This window comes from Homo sapiens, chromosome 1 (assembly GCF_000001405.40).
Source record: "Homo sapiens chromosome 1, GRCh38.p14 Primary Assembly".
NCBI lineage: Eukaryota > Metazoa > Chordata > Mammalia > Primates > Hominidae > Homo > Homo sapiens.
This window is the reverse complement of record NC_000001.11, coordinates 43,799,846-43,823,955: the sequence shown is the minus strand read 5'-3', so window position 1 is coordinate 43,823,955 and position 24,110 is coordinate 43,799,846. Positions and strand designations below refer to the sequence as shown.

General features: G+C 43.5%; 1 protein-coding gene across 62 annotated transcripts in view, besides 1 other annotated feature; it reads right to left on the bottom strand.

Moving 5' to 3' along the window:
• ST3GAL3 (ST3 beta-galactoside alpha-2,3-sialyltransferase 3) overlaps window positions 1-24,110 on the bottom strand; it is a 223,624-nt gene that overhangs the window by 107,204 nt on the left and 92,310 nt on the right. For 55 of the 62 annotated variants that reach the window (NR_073021.3, NR_073018.3, NR_146867.2 and 52 more), the window contains one exon: window positions 9,023-9,065. The exons of 2 other annotated variants lie outside the window; for them this stretch is intronic. Coding sequence is in view for 41 of the 60 variants with exons in the window: in XM_047428200.1 (XP_047284156.1) it covers window positions 9,023-9,065 (43 nt within the window). In the remaining 19 variants the exon portion in view is untranslated. Of the gene's footprint in view, window positions 1-9,022; window positions 9,066-13,572; window positions 13,792-22,410; window positions 22,549-24,110 lie in introns of those variants that run through there. 5 more of the 62 variants (XM_047428201.1, XM_047428236.1, XM_047428265.1 and 2 more) reach the window with 3 other exon arrangements.
• Window positions 1,386-2,585: an enhancer, noted in NCBI's record as "MED14-independent group 3 enhancer chr1:44287043-44288242 (GRCh37/hg19 assembly coordinates)". NCBI's record gives its function as "activates an origin of replication core promoter dependent on BRD2, BRD4, P300/CBP and CDK7 cofactors, and independent of MED14, by STARR-seq in HCT116 cells {active_cell/tissue: HCT116}" and the evidence as "EXISTENCE:reporter gene assay evidence [ECO:0000049][PMID:35650434]".

The window sequence follows — 24,110 nt, the reverse complement described above, 5'->3', positions numbered from 1 at the left end:
AAGCTAAGTTGAATAGTGAGAAAAGTAAAAAAGTTTGGAGCCAGGCAGAGAAGGGTTCAAAGACTGGCTTGATCACATTTAGTTCTGTGAACATAAGCAAATTACTTATCCCTTCTATATCATTTTCACATTTGTTAAAATGCATTTAAATACCATCTACTTCACAGAGTTGTCCACCATTTATCCATGCAACAAATATTTATTAATTGATCACTAAGTAATACAGTAGATACTGGTTTTGGTGTTAGAAAATAGTAGGGAACAAAACAGAAGAAACACTCTAGTAGATGGAGACAGACAATAAACAAGTAAATAAAACATATGTGGCATCCGAGAGTGATAGATACCCTGGAGAAAATGACACAGTAAAGGGGAACAGGGAACGCCAATAGGGGATGGGGCTATGATTTTAAATGGGATGGGCAAAGGAGACTTTATTAAGAAGGTGACATTTGAACTATGTTCTAAAAAGGCAAGAGAGTGCGCAATCTCTTCAGGTATCTGGGGAAGAGTGTTCCAGACAAGGGAATGAGCAAATGCCAAGAGTCTGAGGCGGGAACAGGTCTGGAATATCCGAATCACAGCAAGGAGCGCAGGATAAAACAATAAACAAGAAGGAGAGCAACAAGAAACGAAGGTGTGGACCATGTAGGGCCTTGATGAGCACTATAAAGGTTCTGGCTCTCATTCTACAAGAAATGGGGAGCCATTGGGGAGTTCTGATCACAGGAGTAACAAGATCTATCTTGTATTTTAATGGGATCACTTTGGCTTCAGTGTGGAAATAGACCACAGAGAAGCAAGCATAAAATCTGGAAGACTAGTTAGGAGTGCAAAAATTAGGTGAGAGATGGTGGTTTGGACAGAGTGATGATACAGAGGTAGTGAGAAGTGGCTGGATCTGAGGATATTAAGGTAAAGCTAATAAGGTTTGCTGATATCAGATTTGAGTGTCAAAGAAATGATGCTACAGTATTTGATGTGAGCAATTGGAAGGATGTAGTTAGCTGCCATTTCCTGGGGTAGAAAAGATTCTGGGAGGCAGGGGTGTGAATCTGGAGTTTGGTTCTGGACATGTTAAGTGTGAGATGCCTAATACATATCCAAATGAAGGAAGCAATTGGGTAAATGAGTCTGGAGTGTGGGGAAAGAGAACTGGGCTTGATATAAATATAGGAGTCATCAGCATATAGATGATATTTAAAGCCATGATACCGGATTAGATTATCTAAGCAAATGTTGTGGGAACAGGTAACATAGAAAGTACCTAGTGCACCACTGGGCATATAGTAGGTGCTCAATAAATGCTTTCCCCTTGCAGCCCTAGGGAACTTGACAGGCTGTTTTAGAAGTGTTAAACTCACCTCAGGCTATATTTAGACTGCTCCATGTTTATACACTATTACAAATGACCTGGTTTTTCACAAGGCTCTGGGGGTTAAGAGTTGTTTGCTTTCATTTTCATATTTTTGTGTCTTCACATGGAATTCCTTATGAAATTAGACTGAGCATTAAAGTCCCCATGCTCTTGCCCACATGGCAACTGTAAAACACCACACTGTGGCAGCAGACAGGAGCTTTCCCAGAGCACAGAGCACCTGCCCACACCCAGCAGAAATAGATGAAACTTCCATTTAATTAAATCTGCTCCCAGAAGGCCCACGTCGGCTCAGGAAAGTCACACTTGGACACCAGGATCTGGCTCCTTCAAGGAATCCAGATGACTCATCTCTCTCCTGGACTAATGGGCACATTCCTGGCTCGTTGTGTCATATTCCTTATAATGGAGACTGAGATTTCCTTAGGGTTCTTCCTGGAATGCTCTGCCTCTCTTCCTTTGACTCTTTCCTCAAATGTCACCTTCTCAATGAATTCTACTTTGACTGTCCCATTGCAACTTGCAATCTCTTCAACAGCATTCCCTTGTCTTGCTCTATTTTCTTTCACAGCACTTATCACCTTCCAAAATCCTAAAAACTTTATTTATAATAATTTTTGTTTATTGATTGTCTTGTTCACTGGTATATCCTCAGACCACAGAATATTGCCTGATACATATTAGTTGCTCAACAAATCTGTTAACTGAATGAGGGAGTATCCACTTTGTTGTCGGGGCAAGAGCCTTTACCCCTGAGACTTTTCGAGGCCCTCAACTTTGAGCCAGACCACAGTAGACCCCTTTCAGAGAGCAGATGTGCCTCCTTGGAGGTATCCTTAAATCAGGTTGTGGCTGCCTGCACGTAGCAGCCTGAGTGCCCAACCCCTGGGGAAGACGGGGTCAATTCTCAGGCAACCACAAGGCTGGCAATGTCACCAACTCACCAGTCTCACATTCTAGTTATTCCTGTTTCTCTCCAAACCATATTCTTCTCAGTTTTCTTATCCTCAAGTCACTGCTCTCTGCTTCTTCTTGGTCCAATTTCCTACTTCTCCCCTGGCACGGTCCACATTCTAACTTTCAATTATGTGGCATAAAACTGTGTTCCTTTATATCCTCAAACTCTTCGGTGAATGTTCCTTCCATTTTTGCTTTCATAGAAACCTGGGTCTCTCGGGAAAACGCCATTTTTACAGCCCTCTGCAAAGGAGGCTGCTCTTTCATCTATACTTCATGGACCTTGGGATCCCTGGTTATCCTTTTTGTACTCCATTAATGCTTCCAAATCACCAATATGTCATGCTTATTATAAAAAAACAAACAACCAAAAACTTGTCTGTTGCTCATGCTATCCAGCAATACTACCCTTTACCCTCCCTTCCTGTTCTCATTCGCTTCCTCCCCATTCACTAAGACTTCAGCTCGCAGGATAGCCTTTCCAATCAAGCTTATAAGGCTGTGTCTATGTCTTAGAATTTTCCGTTTATTCCAACTAGAAAACACATAGCTGGTGCTCAAGAAACATCTGCTAAATGAAAGAGTAAAGAAATGAAATCTGGGGTATGGAGCAGGAGGCAAGCTGAAGTCCGGGTCTCATTTTTGGGCTATATCCCTGCTAGTTTACCAGACACTGATAAGGGCTAACTCTCATCCTTGGTATTACTATTGTCACCACTTTAACTGAGACTTAGTAGTTTAATAACTCACTCCAGATTAGAGCTAGTAAGATGTGGAACTGGGCCTCAAAAATCCATGTCTGACTCCATAGCTCACATTTTTAACCAACAAAAAGTTCTGCCTTCTTCAACAACAGATCTTGTAGTAAAAAGACAAGGTTTTGCACATCAGTATTCTGAATAATGTTCTCAGCACTAACAAGTGATTTTGTCATGTAGATACAAGCAGCAGGGAATTCTAAAAGAAAATATAAGCCACTCTATTCCAGAAAGACATAATTAAACAAATACAGTGAAGAAAAAAAATCTAAAATGTCTATTTCCAGGCTTTTGGAATATCACTAGACATAAGGTATTTTAGGAGTATTTCTCCCATTCTGTAGGCTGTCTGTGTACTCTGTTGATAGTTTCTTTTGCTGTGCAAAAGCTCTTTATTTTGATTAGGTCTCACTTGTCAATTTTTGTTCTTGTTGCAGTTGCTTTTGGTGACTTAGCCATAAATTCTTTGCCAAAGCCAATGATGAGAAGGGTATGTCCTAGGTTTTCTGTTAGGATTTTTATAGTTTGAGGTCTTACATTTAAATCTTTAATCCATCTTAATTTTTATATATGGTAAAATGTAGGGGTTCAGTTTCATTCTTCTGCATATGGTTAGCCAGTTATCCCAACACCATTTATTGAATAGGGAGTCCATTCCCTATTGCTTATTTTTGTAGGCTTTGTTGAAGATCAGATGGTTGTAGCTGTGTGGCTTTATTTCTGGGTTCTCTATTATGTTCCATTGGTCTATGTGTCTGTTTTTGTAGCAGTATCATGTTTAGTTACTATATCCTTATAGTAGAGTTTGAAGTCTAGTAATGTGATACCTCCAGCTCTGTTCTTTTTGCTTAGAATTGCTTTGGCTATTCTGCCTCTTTTTTGGTTTCGTATACATTTTAGAATGGTTTTCTCTACTTCTATGAAAAATGATGTTGATAGATGCAGCTGTAAGTCATTACCCTAAACAAATTAACACAGAACAGAAAACGAAATATCACATGTTCTCACTTATAAATGGGAGCTAAATACTGAATACACATGGACATAAAAATAAGAACAGATACTGGGTACTACTAGAGGGGGGAGTGGGGAGTGGGCTGAAAAACTACCTGTTGAGTACTATGCTCACTACCTGGGTAATGGGACCATCTGTACTCCAAACCTCAGCATCACACCATAAACCCATGTAACAAGCCTGCACATTTACCCCAGAATCCATTTTTTTAAAGGAGTATTTCTATGCAATAGGGTTCCAAGAATAGAAAACATCTGGAGCGAGGAGATAATTCTCAAGATATAGCTGTGTTGCATTCTCAATTAAGGGTGAGTCAACTACACTTGTGGGCCAAAGCCAACCTTTCACCTGTTTTTTTTATATGGCCTGCAAGTTAAGAATGTCTTTTACATTTTTAATAGATGGGGGAAAAAATCAAAGAGCATATTTTATGACACATAAAAATTATATAAAATTGCCGGGCACGGTGGCTCACGCCTATAATTCCAGCACTTTGGGAGGCCAAGGCGGGTGGATCACCCAAGGTCAGGAGCTTGAGACAAGCCTGACCAACATGGAAAAACCCCAGCTCTACTAAATATACAAAATTAGCCAGGTGTGGTGGCACATGCCTGTAATCCCAGCTACTCGGGAGGCTGAGGCAGGAGAATCGCTTGAACCGGGGAGGCGGAGGTTGCAGTGAGACAAGATTGCACCATTACACTCCAGCCTGGGCAACAAGAATGAAACTCCGTCTAAAAAGAATACATATAAAATTAAAATTTCAGGGTCCATAAATAAAGTTTTATTGAAATACAGCCATACTCATTCATCTATGTACTATATATGGATGCTTTCATGTTAAAACAGCAAAGCTGAGTAGCTGTGACAGAAAAAATAAGGCCCCAAATCCTAAAATATTTACCATTTGGCCCTTTGCCAAAAGAGTTCGCCAACCCCTTTTATAAATAATTTCTTATGTCTTACCTTCAAGTTCACTAACTCTATCTTCAGTTGTATCTAATCTGCTGCTAACCCCTTTTATTGAGTTTTTAATTTTGATCATTGTATTTTTTAACTCTAGAAGTTCATTGTTTTTTTCAGATCTGGTATTTTGTTTTTCATAGTTCCCTATTCTATGCATATAGTTCAGTACTGTCTCTTATTTCTTTAAATACAGTATATTTAATTGCTTTATAAATGATGTGTGGTAATTCCAATTTCAGAAATCTTTGTGAGTACTCCTCTGTTACCAGTTGTTTTACATGGTTCTCATAAAACCATGAGAACAAGCTTCAACAGAAGCTTGTTTCCTTGTGTGTTTAGTTATTTTTTACTGTGAGCTGCTCATTTCCTTGAAAAGTTATTTGTGAGGAATGTGTATGTCTTCCTCTATGGAAAGTCTGCATTTATTTCTGCCAGGTGCTTGGAGGCACTGCCAGTCTGGAATACCTTAAACTGAACTCATGGTTTGAGGTTCCCTGGATCACCTGAGTGATGAGAACTCTGGCAACAAATACTAAGTGTTTTTGTTCTACTGCCATGACATACTCAGCACTTTGGTAATTGTTCTTGCAGCCTGCTTTGGGGGTGTAGGTTTATTAATAGTTCTAGTTTATCCTTATGCTGAGCCCTTTGGGGTTCCAGTTAATGTGAAAGTGATTAAAAGATAAAAAATATGGAAAATAAGTTAATATAATGAGAAGGTCTAAAATTTAACCAGAATTTCAGAAGAGGCGTAGAGAGAGAGTGGGGCAGAGGGAATATTTAAAGAGATAATGGCTGAAAATTTTTCCAAAACATATGAAATTTATATACCCAAGAATCTAAATGAGGCCAGATACTGTGGCTTACAGCTGTAATCCTAACACTTTAGGAGGCTGAGGCAGGAGGATCACTTGAGCCCAGGAGTTCAAGACCAGCCTGGGCAACATAGCAAGAGCCTGTCTGTACCAAAAGAAGAAGAAAAAAGAAAGAAGAAAGAAGGAGGAGGAGGAGGAGGAAGAGGAGGAGGAGGAGAAGGAGAAGAAGAAGGAGGAAGGAAGAGAAGGAGGAGGAGAAGGAGGAGGAGAAGGAGGAGGAGAAGAAGGAGGAGAAGAAGAAGAGGAAGAAGAGGAGGAAGAAGGAGGAGGAGGGGGAGGAGGAGAAGGAGGAGAAGGAGAAGGAAGAAGGAGAAGAAGAAGGAAGGAGAAGGAAGAAGGAGAAGAAGGAGAAGGAGGAGGAGGAGAAGGAGGAGGAGAAGGGAGGAGGAGAAGGAGGAGAAGGAGAAGGGAGGAGGAGAAGGAGGAGAAGGAGAAGAAGAAGGAAGAAGGAGAAGAAGAAGAAGGAGAAGGAGAAGAAGGAAGAAGAATGAAGAAGAAGGAAAAAGGAGGAGAAGGAGAAGAAGAACAAGGAGAAGGAGAAGAAGAAAGAAGAAAGAAGAAGGAGAAGGAAGAAGGAGAAGAAGGAGAAGGAGGAGAAGAAGGAGAAAAAGGAGGAGAAGAAGAAGGAGAAGAAGGAGAAGAAGGAAGAAGAAGAAGAAGGAAGAAGGAAGAAGGAAGAAGAAGAAGCAGCAAGCTAAATGAATCCCAATCAAGATAAATAAAAAGAAAGCCTTACATTGGCATATTTATTCATACTTTATGGAACGCTTTTATTTTTCATAAAACCATAGGAAGGGAGTGCTATTATCCACATTTTTTCATAAAGGAAAATTGGGATTCAGAAAGCTAAAATATAATAATTATCTAAGGTCATGTAATACTATGCAGCAGACAGAATTCAAATCAAGTTCTGATTCAAGTTCAGGTCCTTTCCTATACCTCAGAAATAGAATATAACACAACTAGAGAGGGACTTGGTAAGGGGAGATCTCAACTTTGCTGAGGAACTGCCCCCACCAAAAGCAGAATCCTTAACTTGGAAACTTCTCTCTGGAAGTAGGTGGAAACCTTTCTCAGGTATCTGTGAGACAGGAGAGACAGCACTGGACTTCTGAAGACAGCACTGGACTAGAAAAACCTTTGCAGCTAGAGGCAGGACAGTTCTAGCTTGTACCTTAGATTGTGAGTTAAATCAAATGAGGCCAAGCCAATTTACTGTGCTAAAGACCAAGTTAACTCACATAGTTCAAAGAACTGGCCTGATACACAACAGAAAGCTACACAACAGCCTACTCTGCAGGACCCAACTGTCAGGACAGCAGGAGATGAGCGTCCTCCTCATCCTCCTCCTTTCACTGCTGAAGACAGTTTAAATACTGTAGTATGTCCTAGAGAACATGCCTTTTGTTCATCAGTGTGATTCAACTTGGTAATTACTCTATCTCTTCCGTTCTGGTGGCATTTCACTTGCTTACGGCTTATACTTGATTTGTTTTTTTCCAGAGTACTAAATTAAGGATTTTCTAAGAGTGAAGCCTATGGCTTTCTACCACAATCAAATACCCCATTCCCTAGATGTTAACATGAGGCTGACATCTCTCTACTAGCCTGGTATACAGAACACACACTTTTTCCTTCATAGTTGCCTTCATAATGTGTAAAAGTTGGGAGATTTACAATGCCTGAACTCATAGTATGAGGCACCAGAGCCAAGAAGCCAGACGCCAGACCATTCAGTGGGAAAACCAACCAGCCCCTGGTTTGATGTCTTGTACGTAGGTGTGGCCATCGTCATCAGAGTCAACTGTGGAAAAGGTCTTATGCAAGACAGAAAAGGAAAGAGACACAATTCTGATCCTTCATGATGTCCGCCTGGTACAGGGCAGGGGACACAGGTGCACAAAGATGACTAACAATAGAAAGGAATCACAGTAGGTAGTAAGGTGGTTCTGCAAGGATTTATTGAGCATCGGCCATGTGAGCAGGCTTGCAGGGACATGAACACACAGAGTAGAGAGAGCTGCAACTCAAGGCATGCTTGTCAAATAGGAAAGTACGCAGTCATCCTACCATCATCCATCCATCCATCCATCCATCCATCCATCCATCCATCCATCCATCCAACCAAGCATTCAGTGTTTAACGGGCACCTGACAAACATACGCCAATACTGTCTAGGTGCTAGAGAGACCAAGAAGCCTAGTAGGGAAGGATCCTGGAAGGATTAGATACTCAATACTTGACAGTCCTCTATGAATTAATAATTTCAATTAAATTCTTACAAAAACTCTGTGAAATAAGTTTATTGTCATCATCTTACAGATGAAACTGAGGCTCAGAGTGGTTAAGTAGCTTGACCCAAATCATAAAGAGAATAAAGGTCAGTCTGGGATTTGAACCAAGCTATCTACTAGGCCTAGCTCTGAGCCTGTGCCCTTAAAAAATTAGTAATTATTATGCAATTACAGTATAGTGAGATAACTGTAACAGAGGTAGAAAATTTAAAGGAAGCACAGAGGAAGAGACAACTTTGTGTGGGGAGGAAGTAGTTTTTTTAGTTTTCCAAGTGGGCTAGCAAGGAAAGAAAATTTCAGGCACAGATAACAAGCACATGCAAAGGTAGAGGGAAAAGGAGTGTTCATCTGTGGCAAGAGTGGCAGGAGTTGAAACTGGAGAGTAAGACAGGGAGTGATCACAGAAGGCTGTGCATGTCAGGTGCCAGAGCATCTTTGAGAGGCCCCTACCTCCTGCTGTGACTCAACTGTCCTCTACCCTGCAGGAGAAGCCTTTCCAGGAGACTCCTAGTCCTTCAAACTCCTGGCAGTGGCCTCCTTCTATAATGAGCTGCCTGTGCCAGCCAAATCGAAGGCCTTATGTTTGCACCCATCATCCCACCCTCTCTGGCCGCTGCAGACTGTAACATGCCCCAAGATTCTGCTGACAGCCTGAGGACAGAGGCCCCAGGGAGTCCCCCAGTCACCAGAAGAGTGATGAGAGCTGACCCTTCAAAGTGAGACCCAGCTCTCACAGACCTCTCTGCCACAGAGCCAAGGTATCTTCTCATTCTACTCACAGTTTAGAGTCCAGATTCAGGAGGAAGCCCAACCGATCATACTCTGAAAAAGAAAAGCAGAAAATGTCACTGAAGTCAAGTCACTGATGATACTAGCATATTGCATCCCCCAGACCTAGACCACAGGGACAGACCACCCTTGGAAAAGAACACAATTCAACTGCTTCAAAGAACGTAACTAAATACATAAACCACAAAACACCAGCTGAACACCTGTTTTGTGATGGACCAAGTTCAATGCCAGGTATTTCCTATGCATTCTAGGGCAGCCAGTCCTATGTTGGTATACAACTGTCTTCCTTCCTGTATAAATGTGGTAATTGGAACTGAAATTTAGTAAACCATGAAACTGGAACCTGGAAAAGCAAGAGGCTCAGATGCAGTATCTGCTTCCTCTAAGCTCTAAACACAGCATTTGCTGAATCAGCCACCTTAGCCATGGGGTGAGGATGTGGCAGCCAACGGGTCCCCAAATCCATGCCAATTCTCTTCATGGTCATCATAAAGAACCAGTAGATCAGATTACATAAAGAATAGCAAGTTTACAATAAAATTTAAAGATAAATTGATGCTTCTAACAAGTGATCAATCAGTATTGTAATTTATTTAAGTTCTTTGCATCTTGCTTCATTCTAAAATGAGGTTGAAGCAGTTCTATAAAATTGTATGGAGTACAAAGAAATCTGGGGGCCAAAGTGGACATAAACATAGGAAAATGCAGGTGGGGTAAGGAAAAGAGCAAAAGTGAATATCTTAGGGCTCTGTGTGCTTGCTGGAGGAAGATTACAGATCTGTCCCCAAGATTTTCCATAGCTAAAACTAAGCGCAAAGCACTGATTTCATGGTTCAGCAGTATCCAGAAAATAAACCAGGAGAATCACAGCTATTCTTGATACTAAGACTTGAGGGAAATTTCCTGTGTCCTCAAAAACATTTGTATAAGGAAAATGATATGAAGTGTCATGGGATTATTTCTTATGGCTCTGCTCCATAGTTGCAGTGTGTGTGTGTGTGTGTGTGTGTGTGTGTGCGTGTGTGCGTGTGTGTGTGTGTGTGTGTGTGTGTGTGTGTGTCTAGCCAAAAAATAAAGTGGCCTATGAATGCAGTTCTTAGCTGGCCTGGCTCAATCTGAGGATAAAACAGAATACCAAGACCAAAATACTGGATGGAAAAGGCCAGGCAGCAAAGCTTTCGAGGAACTCAGGCTTTAATAAGCAGTGAACAGCAAAAAGAGGGAAGTCACACATGCTGACAAGTACCTCCCAGGAGTCGTTCTGCAAGGCCAATTAAGGCCAGACTCATTGCTTTCAAAATCATCTGAGCTGTGAAGAGAGAATAAATCCTCTTCTTAAAATTGAAGATATCAACTAGGACACACAACTCAATGTAAGGCTTGCCTCCCAAGAGAATGGCCTTGAGCAAGTGAAAGTCTTTCCTCAAAATAATTCTGGTTTTGCTCTAACGCAGGCGAATGGATGAAAGACTTGCCTTAACATATCAAGAACTTACAAACATTGGTAAGAAAAACAAAAAAAGGCTTAAATATAAAATAAAACGAAAAATACAATTTGCAAAGAGTTAGTGTCAAAGTTAAGTGCCCTCTCAACAATCCTATCTTACCATTCCATAAAAAGGAAGCCTCAGCTTGCCAAATACCTGTTACTTTTTCCCTGTATGGTGAAAACCCTGGGGGAACTCTCATGCCGTGCTCCTCAGACCTGAGCTAAGACTCCCTTAGACAATTAATCCATACTTAGGCGGATTCCTTCCAGAGAGGCCAGAGAATGTTTCCCTCATGGTTGCAAACTCAAATGTCAGGGGCCAAGCAAGAGCATAACACAAATGAGGGAAGTAGGAGAATGTAATACTCTTATACAGCGGCTCACACTACTCATTTTAGTTGCATTAAAAAACAAATCCTGTTGCAATGTCTTTTCTTTTCAATTCACTGTTTTTCCTCCCATATATTTTCTGTATAGTAAAAATAATTATATCTGTGGTTTATTATTTGTCAATGGCATCTTAAGTTTTGTTTTGTTTCACACACACACACACACGCACACACTGCATATTAAATTTCTAAGAACTCTGCATTTCTAAAGCAAGTCTGTCCCTTCACGTCTCTCTTGGTCTATCTATTGTTTTCTCTCTTTCATTAAGAGACATGAGGGCAGGACACAGTGCCTCACACCTGTAATCCCAGCACTTTGGGAGACCAAGCTGGGAGAGTTGTTTGAGCTTAGGAGTTTGAGATAAGCCTCGGTAGCATAATGAGCCCTCATCTATTCAAAAAACTTTTAAAAAATTAGCTGAGCATGTTGTTGCACACCTGTAGTCCCAGCTACTCCAGAGGCTGAGGTAGGAGGATGGCGTGAGCCTGGGAGATCGAGGCTGCAGTGAGCTGTGATCACGCCACTGCACCCTAGCCTGGGCAACACGGTGAAGAGTCACTGTATCCCCACAGCCCTCAGAAAAGAGACATGAGTACCAGAATAATTTAAGAAAAGGTAATTGTGAACCCACTGATGATAAATGACAGCTCGCCCTTGGCTCTAGCGTCAGAGCCCAGAGGGAACTGAGTCCATCTGGAGAGTGTGTGCCCTGCTGAAGGGCGGCTCCCACCAGCTCCTGCTAACTGTGCCAGGCAGCAACGCAGGCCCCGCATTACCACATCTTCAGATTTTTTTCAAGCCAGGAATCTGGATTTTTAAGGTAAAATTTCTAAGTTTATAAACATTGGCAAATGGATTCAAGAAAAATGTAAAGATTATGTGGACTGACAGCTCATGAGGGCTGTGGCTGCTCACAGTAGATGCTCAATAAATATTTGTTGACTGTTATCGGGATTATTTGGTCACAGCAGTCTCAAGTCCAAATCAAATTAGTGTAACAGGATGCTAGAAAGAAAATTTTAGCCGGGTCTATAAGGTGATACATTTCAGACACCACAGTGAAGTGCTAGACTAAGATGCGGATTTTCAAAGGAAATCTCTTAATACTTATCACGTAATTCTAAAGGCCTTCCCTACATCAAATATAAATAGCAATCGGTTGCTAGAGATGAAGGGAAAGAGGATTTCAAAAAACGTCTTTGTGGGGAGCTGTGTTATGAACAGGGCAGGATGGGTACCTGTCTCTCACTCCAGCCTCTGAAGGATGCCTAACACGTCCTTAAGGTTTGGAGAACACAGTGGGTTGCCTGGGGCCCACCTCCTACCCAACAAGTCTAGAGGACACAATGGGCAATGGGCGGGCTGGCTGCAGGAGAACACTGCATGGGGACTGGCCTGCACTCCCAGAATCTGTGGCAAAAACTAATGCATGAAGGAGCTGTTGTGGGCTCGTTTCAGGTCCTTTCCAGAAGATCTGCCTGGAGGGTTGACAGGCCCTCGGCCAACAGAAGCAACAGGTAGATGCTGGGATTTCCAGGAGCTGCAGAAGTGAGGAGCAAGGCAGTGGCATGGGCATTACCCATACTGGGGGAACCGCAGAGAAGAGGCCCCTAAAATGGAAAGGGGTCATCAGAACACTCACAAAAGCACCCCACCAGAGTCAGCTTTAACTATTTGTCAGGTCCAGAGAGTGCAAACACTCTAGGTCTCTACTGCTCATTCTCTCTCCCTCCAACAGCAATCACGGAGAGGTCAGAGGCAGCAGCTAGTAGCTGGGAGAGGAGGGAAGAGGAAAGACAGGCAGGGCATGCCCTTTCCCCACCAGGCACCTGCCGGCACTGTGAGTTGAAAGCTGTGACTGTTACACAAGATGGGGCACTCTAAGTTTGGAAATGGCAACTCACTGTGACCATGGAATTTTTATTACTTCAGATGTATTGAAGACATGAAAACATTTTAAGGGAACAGTAGGAGACAAAATGAAGATGTCTGTGATGATCCTTGACATTTCCTGCATGCTCAACATACTGGTTGCACTAACTCAGGGGAAGTTAGTGCAAATGGATTTAGTGGTTCACATAACCAAAACATAGGAAGGGGCCAGAGTGCAGAGGGTCTCAGGGGTGACCGAAAGTGACTGGAATAGAGGGAGGCCATCGGGCCTCCCTCTATTGCCTGTACTCTCTCCTGGTGAGCTTTCTTCGTAAATGAGGCAATGTGACCACCAGCAACCTGTAGGCAAACATCTTCTGCTTTGCCACTGGCAAGGGATTGCATTCGCCCCTCGCCCCTCTGCTCCCAAGGGCGAAACTCCTGGGGAAAGGCTAGGGCTGGCGGAGCTTGTACCAGTACTTCATTCTGTTCTAGTCACAGAGACTGAGGATATGGGGTTTGTGGAAAATGATGACTCCCATGTGATACACATGGTTACAAGGAGCATTACCAGAAGAAATGTGTTGTCCTGAACAAATAAAGTCCCCTTGCGAACAATAGGAATAATCTTTGGAAAACTAAAGAGCTAGTAAATCTCCCAGGAAAATGCATAGCCAGCTACAATGAGCCACGGACCCCATTTCTCTCAACCTCAGTCCTCTGTCAAACCCTTCTCATAATGCCCTCTGACTCACGATTCCAACCACCCGGCCTACCCGTCTCTACCTCCTGCCACAGCTGAAGCCTGGCAGACCCTACGAGGCTTTTCTTGAGGCTCTCCAGGGGAGGCTGCTTTTCCTCTCCTCTGCCAAGCACCTGTGGGAATGAGAGGGGGGTGCTTATGACATACTTTGCTGCGATTTTCATCATCTTTCCTGTGTTTGGCATCCTTGGGGCTCTTGGATCTGTGGGTTTTAATCACATTTAAAAAAATTTGGTTCTTATTTCTTCAAATATTTTTCTGCCCTCCTCTTTCTTTTAGGGGCTCCAATAACACATGTATTAGGGCTGCTTGAAGTCCCATAGCTCACCAGTGGTCTGTTCATTTTTTTTCCCCAGTAATGTTTCACTCTATGTTTCTTTTCTTTTTTCTTTCTTTCTTTTTTTTTTTTTTTTTGAGACAGGGTCTCACTCTGTGGCCCAGGTTGGAGTACAGTGGTGCAATCCCGGCTCACTGCAACCTCCACCTCCCGGGTTCAATAGATTCTCCTGCCTCAGCCTCCCGAGTAGCTGGGATTACAAGCATGCAACACCACGCCTGGCTAAGTTTTGTATTTTTAGTAGAGACGGAGTTTCACCATTGGCCAGGCTGGTCTCGAACTCCTGACCTCAAGTGATCCGCCCACCTTAGCCTCCCAAAGTGCTAGGATTACAGGCGTGAACCACCACGCTCGGCCCTTTTCCTTTTTTTAAGAGACAGGGTCTCAACCCATAGCCCAGCCTGGAGTGTGGTGGCACAATCATAGCTCACTGCAGCCTCCAACTTCTGGGCTCAAGCAATCTTCCTGCCTCAGCCTCCTGAGTAGCTAGGACTACAGACAAGCACCACCACATTTAGCTAATTTTTAAACTTTTTGTAGAGACAGGGGTCTCACTATGTTGGCCAGGCTGAACTCCTGGCCTCAAGCTATCCTCCTTCCTCAGCCTCCCAAAGTGCTGGGATTACAGATGTAAGCCATTGCACCCAGCCCTCACTCTGTTTCATTTTAGATAGTTTCTATTGCTATATCTTCTAGTTCACTATTTTTTTCTTCTACAGTGTCTAATTTGCTGATTATTCATCCAGTACATTTTTCATCTCAGACACTGTATTTTTCACCTCTGGGAGTTTTTTTTCATATCTTCCGTGCCTTTCCTTAATATTCTCATGCTTTCCCCTGCCTTATTGAACATAGGAATATGATGTAATGCCCCCAGTTCTCTCATTTGTGTCATCTCTAAGCCTGCTTCTACTGATTGTTTTTTTTCCCTCTTTATAGGTTGTATTTTCATGCTTTTCCGAATTGCCTTGTAATTTCTGATTGGCTGCCAACCATGTGAATTTTACCTTGTTGGGGACAGGATACCTGTGCATTCCTTAAGTATTTTTGAGATACAATTAAGTCACTTGGAAACAGTTTGATCCTTTAAAGGCTAGTCTAAGGCTAATTTTGCACTATTACTAATTTTGCCCCACTGCTAAGGCAATACCTTCCTGAGTACACTATGAGATACCCCATGCATTATACAGTTTTCCCACAATTCCCAGTCCTGTGTGACTGCTAGGGATTATCCTGGCTGCCCCCTTCCAGTGGTTCTTTCCCCAGATTCTGGTAGTTTTCCCATCCACATGTACTCATCAGCTGACAAGTCCAAGGGGGAACTGTAACAAATCCCCTGAGCTCTCTCTCTGTGCAGGTCTCTCCTCTCTGATGATCTGTGAATTCTAGTTGCCCTGGTCTCCTCAAATGCTCAACTGTTACCTCAGCTTCGGACTCTTGGGTTCTCCTTCCCTGCGACATGGACTGCAAACTCTCCAGGAAGTTGGCTTGGGCAATTACAGGGCTAACCTCATCTGCTTCCCTTCTTTCAGAGATCAGTGCCCTGTGCTACCAATTGTTCAATGTCTGAAAATATTTCCATATTTTTTTTTCTGTTTTTTTCTCAGTCGTTTCTCCTTTCTTCACTTTTCCTTCATTCAGTCTAGACCTCACCTTGCTCAACACTCAGTTCAGCCTGCCCAATTATCTTTCCATTGCGCCCAAACCAAATCTCTCATTCCTGCTCAGCCTTCTCTCCTGAGCTCCACTTTTTTTTTTTTTTTTTTGAGATGGAGTCTCACACTGTCGCCTGGGCTGGAGTGCAGTGGCGTGATCTCAGCTCACTGCAACCGCCACCTCCCGGGTTCAAGTGATTCTCCTGCTTCAGCCTCCCGAGTAGCTGGGATTACAGGCGCCCGCCACTATGCCTGGCTAATTTTTTTGTATTTTTAGTACACACCGTGTTTCACTATGTTGGCCAGGCCAGTCTCGAACTCCTGACCTCATGATCCACCTGCCTTGGCCTCCCAAAATGCTGGGATTACAGGTGTGAGCTGCTGTGCCTGGCTGAGCTCCACATGTGTATATCCAGCTGCTTCCTGGACAGCTCCAGTTCGGTGTCCTACAGACACTTAAAACCTAAACCACACCCCCTAGAGTTCATCTTCATCACCCTCACACACACCCAGAACCTCTTTCTGGATTTCCCACCTTAACGAACAACACCACTCTTCACCCAGCTGCCCAAACTTGAAACCTGAGAGAATTCCTTTATTCCTGCTTCTCTCTTCTTTCTTCTAATTCATTACTATGACCTTTTAATTCCATGTTCTAAATGGATCTCAAATCTAAATGGATCTCAAATCTACTTACTTTTCTCCATTTCTACTCTTCTCGGCCAAGCCAGCTTTACTTCTCACCTGGATTGCTGTACTAGCCTCCTGTTATAGCCAGGTCTCCCTGCCCCTGTCTAATAGATGCTCTGTGCTGTAATCAGAGCTATCTTTCTGTAAGATAAATATGGCCATATCACAATCCTGCTTAAAACATTTGGTTGGATTCTACTGTTCTCAGAACAAATCCCAATCTCTTCACCTACAAGATCCCCCAAGACCTGGCCTATAGATATCATTCCTACTTTATTTATTTATTTATTTATTTATTTATTTATTTTTGAGACAGAGTCTCGGTCTGTCGGCCAGGCTGGAGTGCAGTGGCACGATCTCGGCTCACTGCAACCTCTGCCCCCTGGGCTCAAGCAATGCTCCTGCCTCAGCCTCCCGAGTAGCTGGGATTACAGGGGTGTGCCACCACGCCCGGCTAATTTTTGTATTTTAATAGAGATGGGGTTTCACCATGTTTGCCAGGCTGGTCTTGAACTCGTGACCTCAGGTAATCCGCCTGCCTCAACCTCCCAAAGTGCTGAGATTACAGGCGTGAGCCACCGTGCCCAGCCTCCTACTTCACTTCTTGATTCCCAGCATCACCCCTGCCATATTCAATGTTCCTGCGAGGCTGAACTGTTTTATCTTTCTCCAACATAACTTTATCATCTCCAGGCCTTTGAACATATCTTTCTCTTTATTTAAAGTATTTTCCCTACCGGGCACAGTGGCTGACGCCTGTAATCCCAACACTTTGGGAGGCCAAGGCAGGCAGATCGCTTGAACCCAGGTGTGTGAGACCAGCCTGGGCAACATGGTGAAACCTGGTCTCTACTAAAGATACAAAACATTACCCGAGCATGGTGGTGTGCACCTGTGGTCCCAGCTACTGGGGAGGCTGAGGTGGGAGGATCACCTGAGCCCGGAAATTCGAGGCTACAGTGAGCCATGACTGCACTGCTGCACTCTGGCCTGGGCAACGGGAGTAAGACCCTGTTTCAAAATAAAAAAATTAAATTAAATAATTTCCCAATCCCTTTTCACATTGGTTATTTCCTACACATTATTCCTAAATGATCCACAGTTACCTCTAGCTCAAAATGGTACAAATCAGACTTATCTTTGCCTGTTCCCCAGCCTTCCAGCCTTGATCCTTCTTGTTTTTAAATGATGGCAATACCATCCAGTCCTCCAAGAAGGAAATTTTTGGTGACCACTAATGTCTCTCATTTCTACATGCAGACCCTGTTCCCCTCCCTATCCCGTCATTGCTTTTGCTTGAGTCTTCACTGTTGCTTGGTTCACGTGGCAACCTCTTGATCTGTCTTCTCAGCCTCATCTCCTGCCACTCCCTTCTTTTATGCCTGAGAGCCTTTATGCCTGAGAGCTACTGCAGGTGACATTTCTCCTACAATGCCTTCACTCATCTTGCTCATCCTTCAAGATAAAGCCATCACTAAAGCTCAATTTCACAGATGTTTTTATAGTACAACAAGGAATTTTACATTTTTCCCTAAATTTCTATCCCTGTCTTATACTATTGTCTCCCCTGCTCTGTGCTCTGGTGATTTTGGCCTCTTTCAGTTCCCTGAATAAGCCACCTCTTTATTCGGTTAATTCCTGCTCATTCTTTAGACCCTAGTTCGAAGGCCCTCTTTTAGAAAAGTATTCCTTGCCGGGCACGGTGGTTCACGCCTGTAATCCCAGCACTTTGGGAGGCCAAGGTGGGCGGATCACAAGGTCAGGAGTTAAAGACCAGCCTGACCAACACGGTGAAACCCCGTTTCTACTAAAAATACAAAAATTAGCCGGGTGTGGTGGTGCGTGCCTGTAATCCCAGCTACTCAGAAGGCTGAGGCAGGAGAACTGCCTGAACCCAGGAGGTGGAGGTTACCGTGAGCCGAGATCGCACCACTGCACTTCAGCCTCGGTGACAGTGTGAGACTCCGTCAAAAAAGAAAAGAAAAAAAAGAAGAGCGTTCCTTGTCCTCCCTATGTAGACCTCACCCTTCAAATGCTCCTGTGCCACAGTGTACTTTCTCCAGTTTGTGATTATACATTTACCGACAGACGCCTCTCCTCTGCTAGTCTAGAAGTTCCACTAAGACTCTTCTTTTCCTCACAGGTGCATCACCTAACACTATGCTTGGCATGTGGAAGGAATGTTGAACGAACAACATCTTCTCTGATCTAACTTGTTAGCCTAAATGCACCTTATCTGTGCTCTCCAGCCCTTCCAGAACTTATTCATGAACCTGCAATGCACATCTGTTGTTTCTGTCCTTTTAGAAACAAGCCCCTTGGGTTTCCTTCAGGGAACTGCTCTTCTCCCATTGCAGGCAAGTGGTGAGACTGTCGATGGGATTTATGTCCAAAGTGTAGGCACCTGACAAAAGCTAGGTTAGTGGGACAATTTCTTCCCTAAACTCAGCGACACGAGGGAGAAAAATAATGTGCTGAAGAGGGGGACCACTTGTTCCTGCAACCTAGATTCCTGGGGCTGCCCTTCATGTTCTTTCTGAGGGCTCGATGTTTAGCTTCCAATTGGATTCTGTGGGTACCCATGTCCTTCTGGTAAATTCCTTTTTAAAAACAGTTATCCCCAGTCAGTTTTTGTTGCTTTCAATTAAACTATCCTAGCTTACATGTATTTGGGTTCTCATAAAGGGCAGGGCTCACCTCTGCACCCAATATCACATCTGGCACAGAGTTGGTATTCCATAATGTACTGAATGGATGGAAGAGTGGAAAGAGTGACCAAATAAGCAAGGCAGCCTAGTAAGTGCCCTGAGACCTGGAGTCTTTGTCTTCCTCCACCCCTTGCAGTGAGGGGGCAGTGCTGGTGGTAGCAGTGATGGCAGCAGCAGGGGCTTCCTCTCCCTCTCCTTCTCCCTCGCCTGCCATCTTCGACTGCAGTGATTCCCTTGCTCTGGCCCTTCCTGGCTCCCAGCCTATCTGATTACATCACTGTCACCTGCCCACAGCGAGCCTCCTCTGGCTCTTCTTAGGCGCAACTAACTGTCTGCCACACTGTTTATTTAATGCCCTTCACACCTTCTATTTTCTGAGTTTTGCTTTGGGGTTCCCTTTTAAGAACTCCCAGTTTGCCAAGGTAGTTCCCTCCCATCATGTATAAAGGCCTGAAATTTAACCCTCTCCACAAAGACTTCCTGAGTCACCTGAGTCACTGGCGTCTGTCTGCTCCATCTCAACCAAGGTCTTTACCTGACAAGCACTTTACTCTCAGCCCCAGCCTCATAGTCATGTTACTGATTATTCAGTCTGTGTGTGGCCCCTCACAGAGTTCCCTGACTAGCAGGAAAATTTAAGCATCATCTTTAGGAAGTGTAAATGAGAAAAGAAAGCAATCAGGAAGGCATAGGCATTATACTCCAGGAATACAGGAGCAGAGCTTCTCTACTGCTGGGGTTGGGCAAGGTTACAGATCCCAGCGCATCTCCTTTATACAAATGTGTTCTTAGAGTTGCATGTGAATTTGCCTTATACAGAGGAACTGCTATTTTGAGTGTACCAACACTTCAGGGACTATTCACCTCTCGGGTAGTGGCATGAAAGTCTGGGTCTCACCAGCAGCCCAATGATCCCAGATCTGTACAAAGAACAGAACACTCTAGGAATCCCAGGCCAGCCAGGCACAATATGCACTCATATTCCAGCTCTCCTAGCACCTGAAGATACTCTCCTCCCCAGGTATGAAAGCAGAAAGCCAGCAGAAGTGTTTAGTCTGATGGCTTAGGCTTCCTGCTTTGGCCAGGCTGGAAAGCCCAGGATTACAAAAATCACTGACCAAGGAGCACGTGTGTCTCTGCCCAGCTCCAGGTGGGGAGTGACATGGCTGATGCAAATCCCTGACCTTCCCCTCCTGCACGTGCACCAAGTCAGAGCTGTGAATGCACAAAGTGCTTTTTCAGACGTCTTTGAAATTAACCATTAACTCTTCCATTGCCGCCTTAAAGGAATAAGTCAGTCTAGATGTCATAGCAAAAGATTCATATAACTTGTTGGATGAACACTGGAACACTGATGTAAACTCTTAAAAGGTTCAGAAACTGGACATAAACAAAAGGATCCCATGCATTAAAGTGTGAATACATGTAATAATGAAACCTTGTTACATATAAAGCAAAATTAACAGAACTAAAAGAAAATGACACCGTTGGTCTACCATCATAAACCACTGAAAAATCGGGCTCACAAAGTCTGTGAGAATTCAGAAGATTTGAACAGAACAATTACTAAATTTAAACTAACAGACATACAGAGAACCTTACATCCAACAAATGGTGAATGCACATTCCTTTTTTTTTTTTTTGAGGTGGGATCTTGCTATGCTGCCCAGGCTGGATTCAAACTGCTGGGCCCAAGTGATCCTCCCACCTCAGCCCGAGTAACTGGGACTCTAGGTGCGTACCACTGTGCCCGGCCTACAAGACATGTAGGGAGCATTTACAAAACCCGACCAGGCTAAGCATGGTGGCTCATGCCTGTAATTCCAGCATTTTGGGAGGCCAACGCGGGCGGATCACAAGGTCAGGAGTTCAAGACCAGCCTGGCCAATACAGTGAAACCCCGTCTCTACTAAAAATACAAAAATTAGCCAGGTGTGGTGGCACGTGCCTGTAGTCCCAGCTACTTGGGAGGCTGAGGCAGGAGAATCATTTGAACCCGGGAGGTGGAGGCTGCAGTGAGCCGAGATGGCGCCATTGCACTGGGCGACAGAGTGAGACTCTGTCTCAAAAACAAAAACAAAACAAAACAAAAACCAACCAACTGTGAGGCCATAACATAGGGTCAGCCTCCAACTCTTAATTTAAAATTTAAGTATTGAGAAGCTATTGCATGGAATAACATTTTATTGCCGGCAACAAAATACTGTCAGTTATTTCCCTTGAAGTGATAATGCTCACTTTCATTACTGAGAAAATGTCTGCCAAATTCCAAAGTCTGAAAAAACCACAGTCTGTCAATTGTACTTTCAAGTAAAAATTATGTTCCATGAAAAATGTTGCATGAAAAACTCATGGAGCAGAGTGTTGCCCAAGAGGCTGCTGGTCAGTGGCAGGCCAGCCAGGTGGGGACTCCCAGGGGAGCACAGCTCCAGGTGAAGGGCAACACACCTGTTCTCACATATTGGGTAGTATCGCTGCTTATGTGCATTGAATGTAGCCTTTTATGATCTCCAACCAACTCCAGGGTGACTGCTCTAAGAATTCATATACATTTTGCAACAGAGCTTCACGCTATTTTGAAATACCTGATACAAAAAAGTGAGATTAGATTTGAAATCCATTTGTTCTAACTGAAGAAATTTCAACCTTACAATTTTGATTAAGGAAAAGGAAGAACTGTTGGATTTTTAAAATATAATTTCAACTGCTGTAAACATCTGAATAAGTATAAAAATGATTTTATATTTTTGTCAGTTATTTGTGTGAGTTTTTGATGATAACTGAGTATTTTTTAAGAGAGTATCATTAAAAAGCCTTGACAGGAGTTATGTGAAGCCTTCCCAGACAAAACTCCTGAATAAAAATTTATGAACACCGAAACAAGCTCTAGTTTTTAATTAAAAACTTGAAAAGATTTTTATGGTATAGCAATTCAATATTTAATAAATTTCTTAATACTTTGTGTTTCATTTTGCTCATCATAGTTCTTTTTGGTTTGTTTGTTTGTTTGTTTGTTTGACACAGGGTCTCACTCTGTCACCCAGGCTGGAGTGCAGTGGTGCAAACTCGGATCGTCCCACTCTTGACCTCCTGGGCTCAGGTGACCCTCCCATCTCAGCCTCCTGAGTAGTTTGGACTAAAGGCGCAATGCTGCTGGGACTAGAGGTGCAATGCTGCTGGGACTATAGGTGCAATGCCACCACGCCTGGCTAATTTTTTATTTTTTTGTAGAGACAGGTTTCACCATGTTGCCCAGACTGGTCTCAAACTCCTGGGCTCAACTGATCCTCCTGCTTTGGCCTCCCAAAGTGCTGGGATTACAGGTGTGAGCCACCATACCTGGCCTGTTCATCACAGTTCTGTAATATTAAAAAAAAAAAAAAATCACAAATGTTTTCACAATGCCCTATGTAGACAACTCCAAGTCCTCTCCTATTTGTCCTAGTATAGCACATAAGTATTACTTCCTACCTACATTCTGACGTGCAGTTGGGAGCACCAGGCTGTGCAGTCACATCCTGTTCCAGGACAAAAGAGAGAGCTTCTTGAAGGTTCCTGAAGCCAGGTGTCCTACTGTAGCCTCACCTTCAGGCTACTGAGCCCCAGAATGGAATTTCAAGGAATACGGTTGTACATGATGAGCCTAACATGCTACTGGCATTTCCGTTGTGAGTGACCCACTTCCTTTTTTCATTGTAATGAACCACCACAAATTCCAATCAGCTGTCACTGTACCTGGCACAAAGAAGATGCTTATTAAATGACTGCTACTGATGACAACCACAAATATTGCCCATGAACACCAATTTAAGGAGCATTATTGAGGTATATAAAGTTTGGTATTTTATGGGATAAAAACATGAACTTGGTTCTATCAGAAATTGCCGTGCTTCGAATTATAATTCACAAAGCCACATAGGCAGGATAGTCCATGAGGCAAGAAAACTCCATTTACCCAGAGAAGCAGCTCTGCTGCCAGATCTTCTTTAAAGTGGTCTTTGGCTCCAATCTCTGGGCTATGATGAATTGCTAAGTACGAAGGGAATGGCAGTAAATGGAATGAGGACCTACCCTAGCCAAAACAGCTCTATCATTTCTTAAGAAATGTCACTGTACAATCTCTAAAAAAAAGTCATGGGGTATATTAAACATATGTAATATATGCCATGGCTTGGGTGGAGGAAGAAGTTGGCAATAGTTCCAAATGGGCTGTCAGGCTTGCAGAATGAAGGGACTGAGAGGAACTACTATTTATTGAGCATCTTCCTTTGTATTCATGCTGTTCTCAGTACTGTCACCTATACAGCCCCATGAGGCAGGTACTATATTTTACAGATGAGGAAAGAGAGGTTTAGACAGGGGAGATATGTTCAAGATCCCCCAATCATGAAGTAGGCTAGCAGGGATGCCGTGGAACCAACCCAGGGCTGATTCTTTCCTTTACGTTATGCCCACAATGACTCTCAGAGGAAACAAGAAAAGCAGACCCTCACATTAGCAGCACAGTTTCCATGACAGCAATGATGTACTATTACCTCCCATCTCCTGCCCCAGGGTGATGTCAGAAGGCCCTGGCCATACCACACATGAATCATGGGAGTCAAAAGAGGCCTGAGAAGGTCTGGCCAAAGTGCAAATAGCTCCCACATCATCTCAAGTCAGGGAAATAAACCACAACATGGGATCAATTAATCAAAGAGAAACTAAAAGGAAAAGCATTTTTCTAAAATAAACACAGAAAAGCCCACTGACCTAGACTAAATTAACTGATTCAGTAAAATAACTTAGAAGTTTACAAACTAAGATCCAATCTCAAATGGGTGTATGTTGGTGTGGGGGAGGTGAGAGGCCTAGTAGGAAGCTTCTGGTAACAGAGTCCCCTGTGACTATCAGGCCTCCATCTGAGCACAGCACAGCTCTTCTCCAACGTGGCATACTGGGGGCCAAGGGAGCATGACATGTCCTTGGCCCCAGGTAAGAGAATCACAGGCTACAGAAGGAGCCCTGGAAGCCCCCTCCCACAGCAGCCAAAAATGTCACTGCACCCATCTATCTCTCTTCTGTCTTGGGAAAATAGCAGATATCTAGGGCTGAGTACTGCAGTGAATTTAATCCTATTCACAGCATCAACTGTGTCCGGGCCATCCCAGGGCATCTTGCACTAAGCTGCA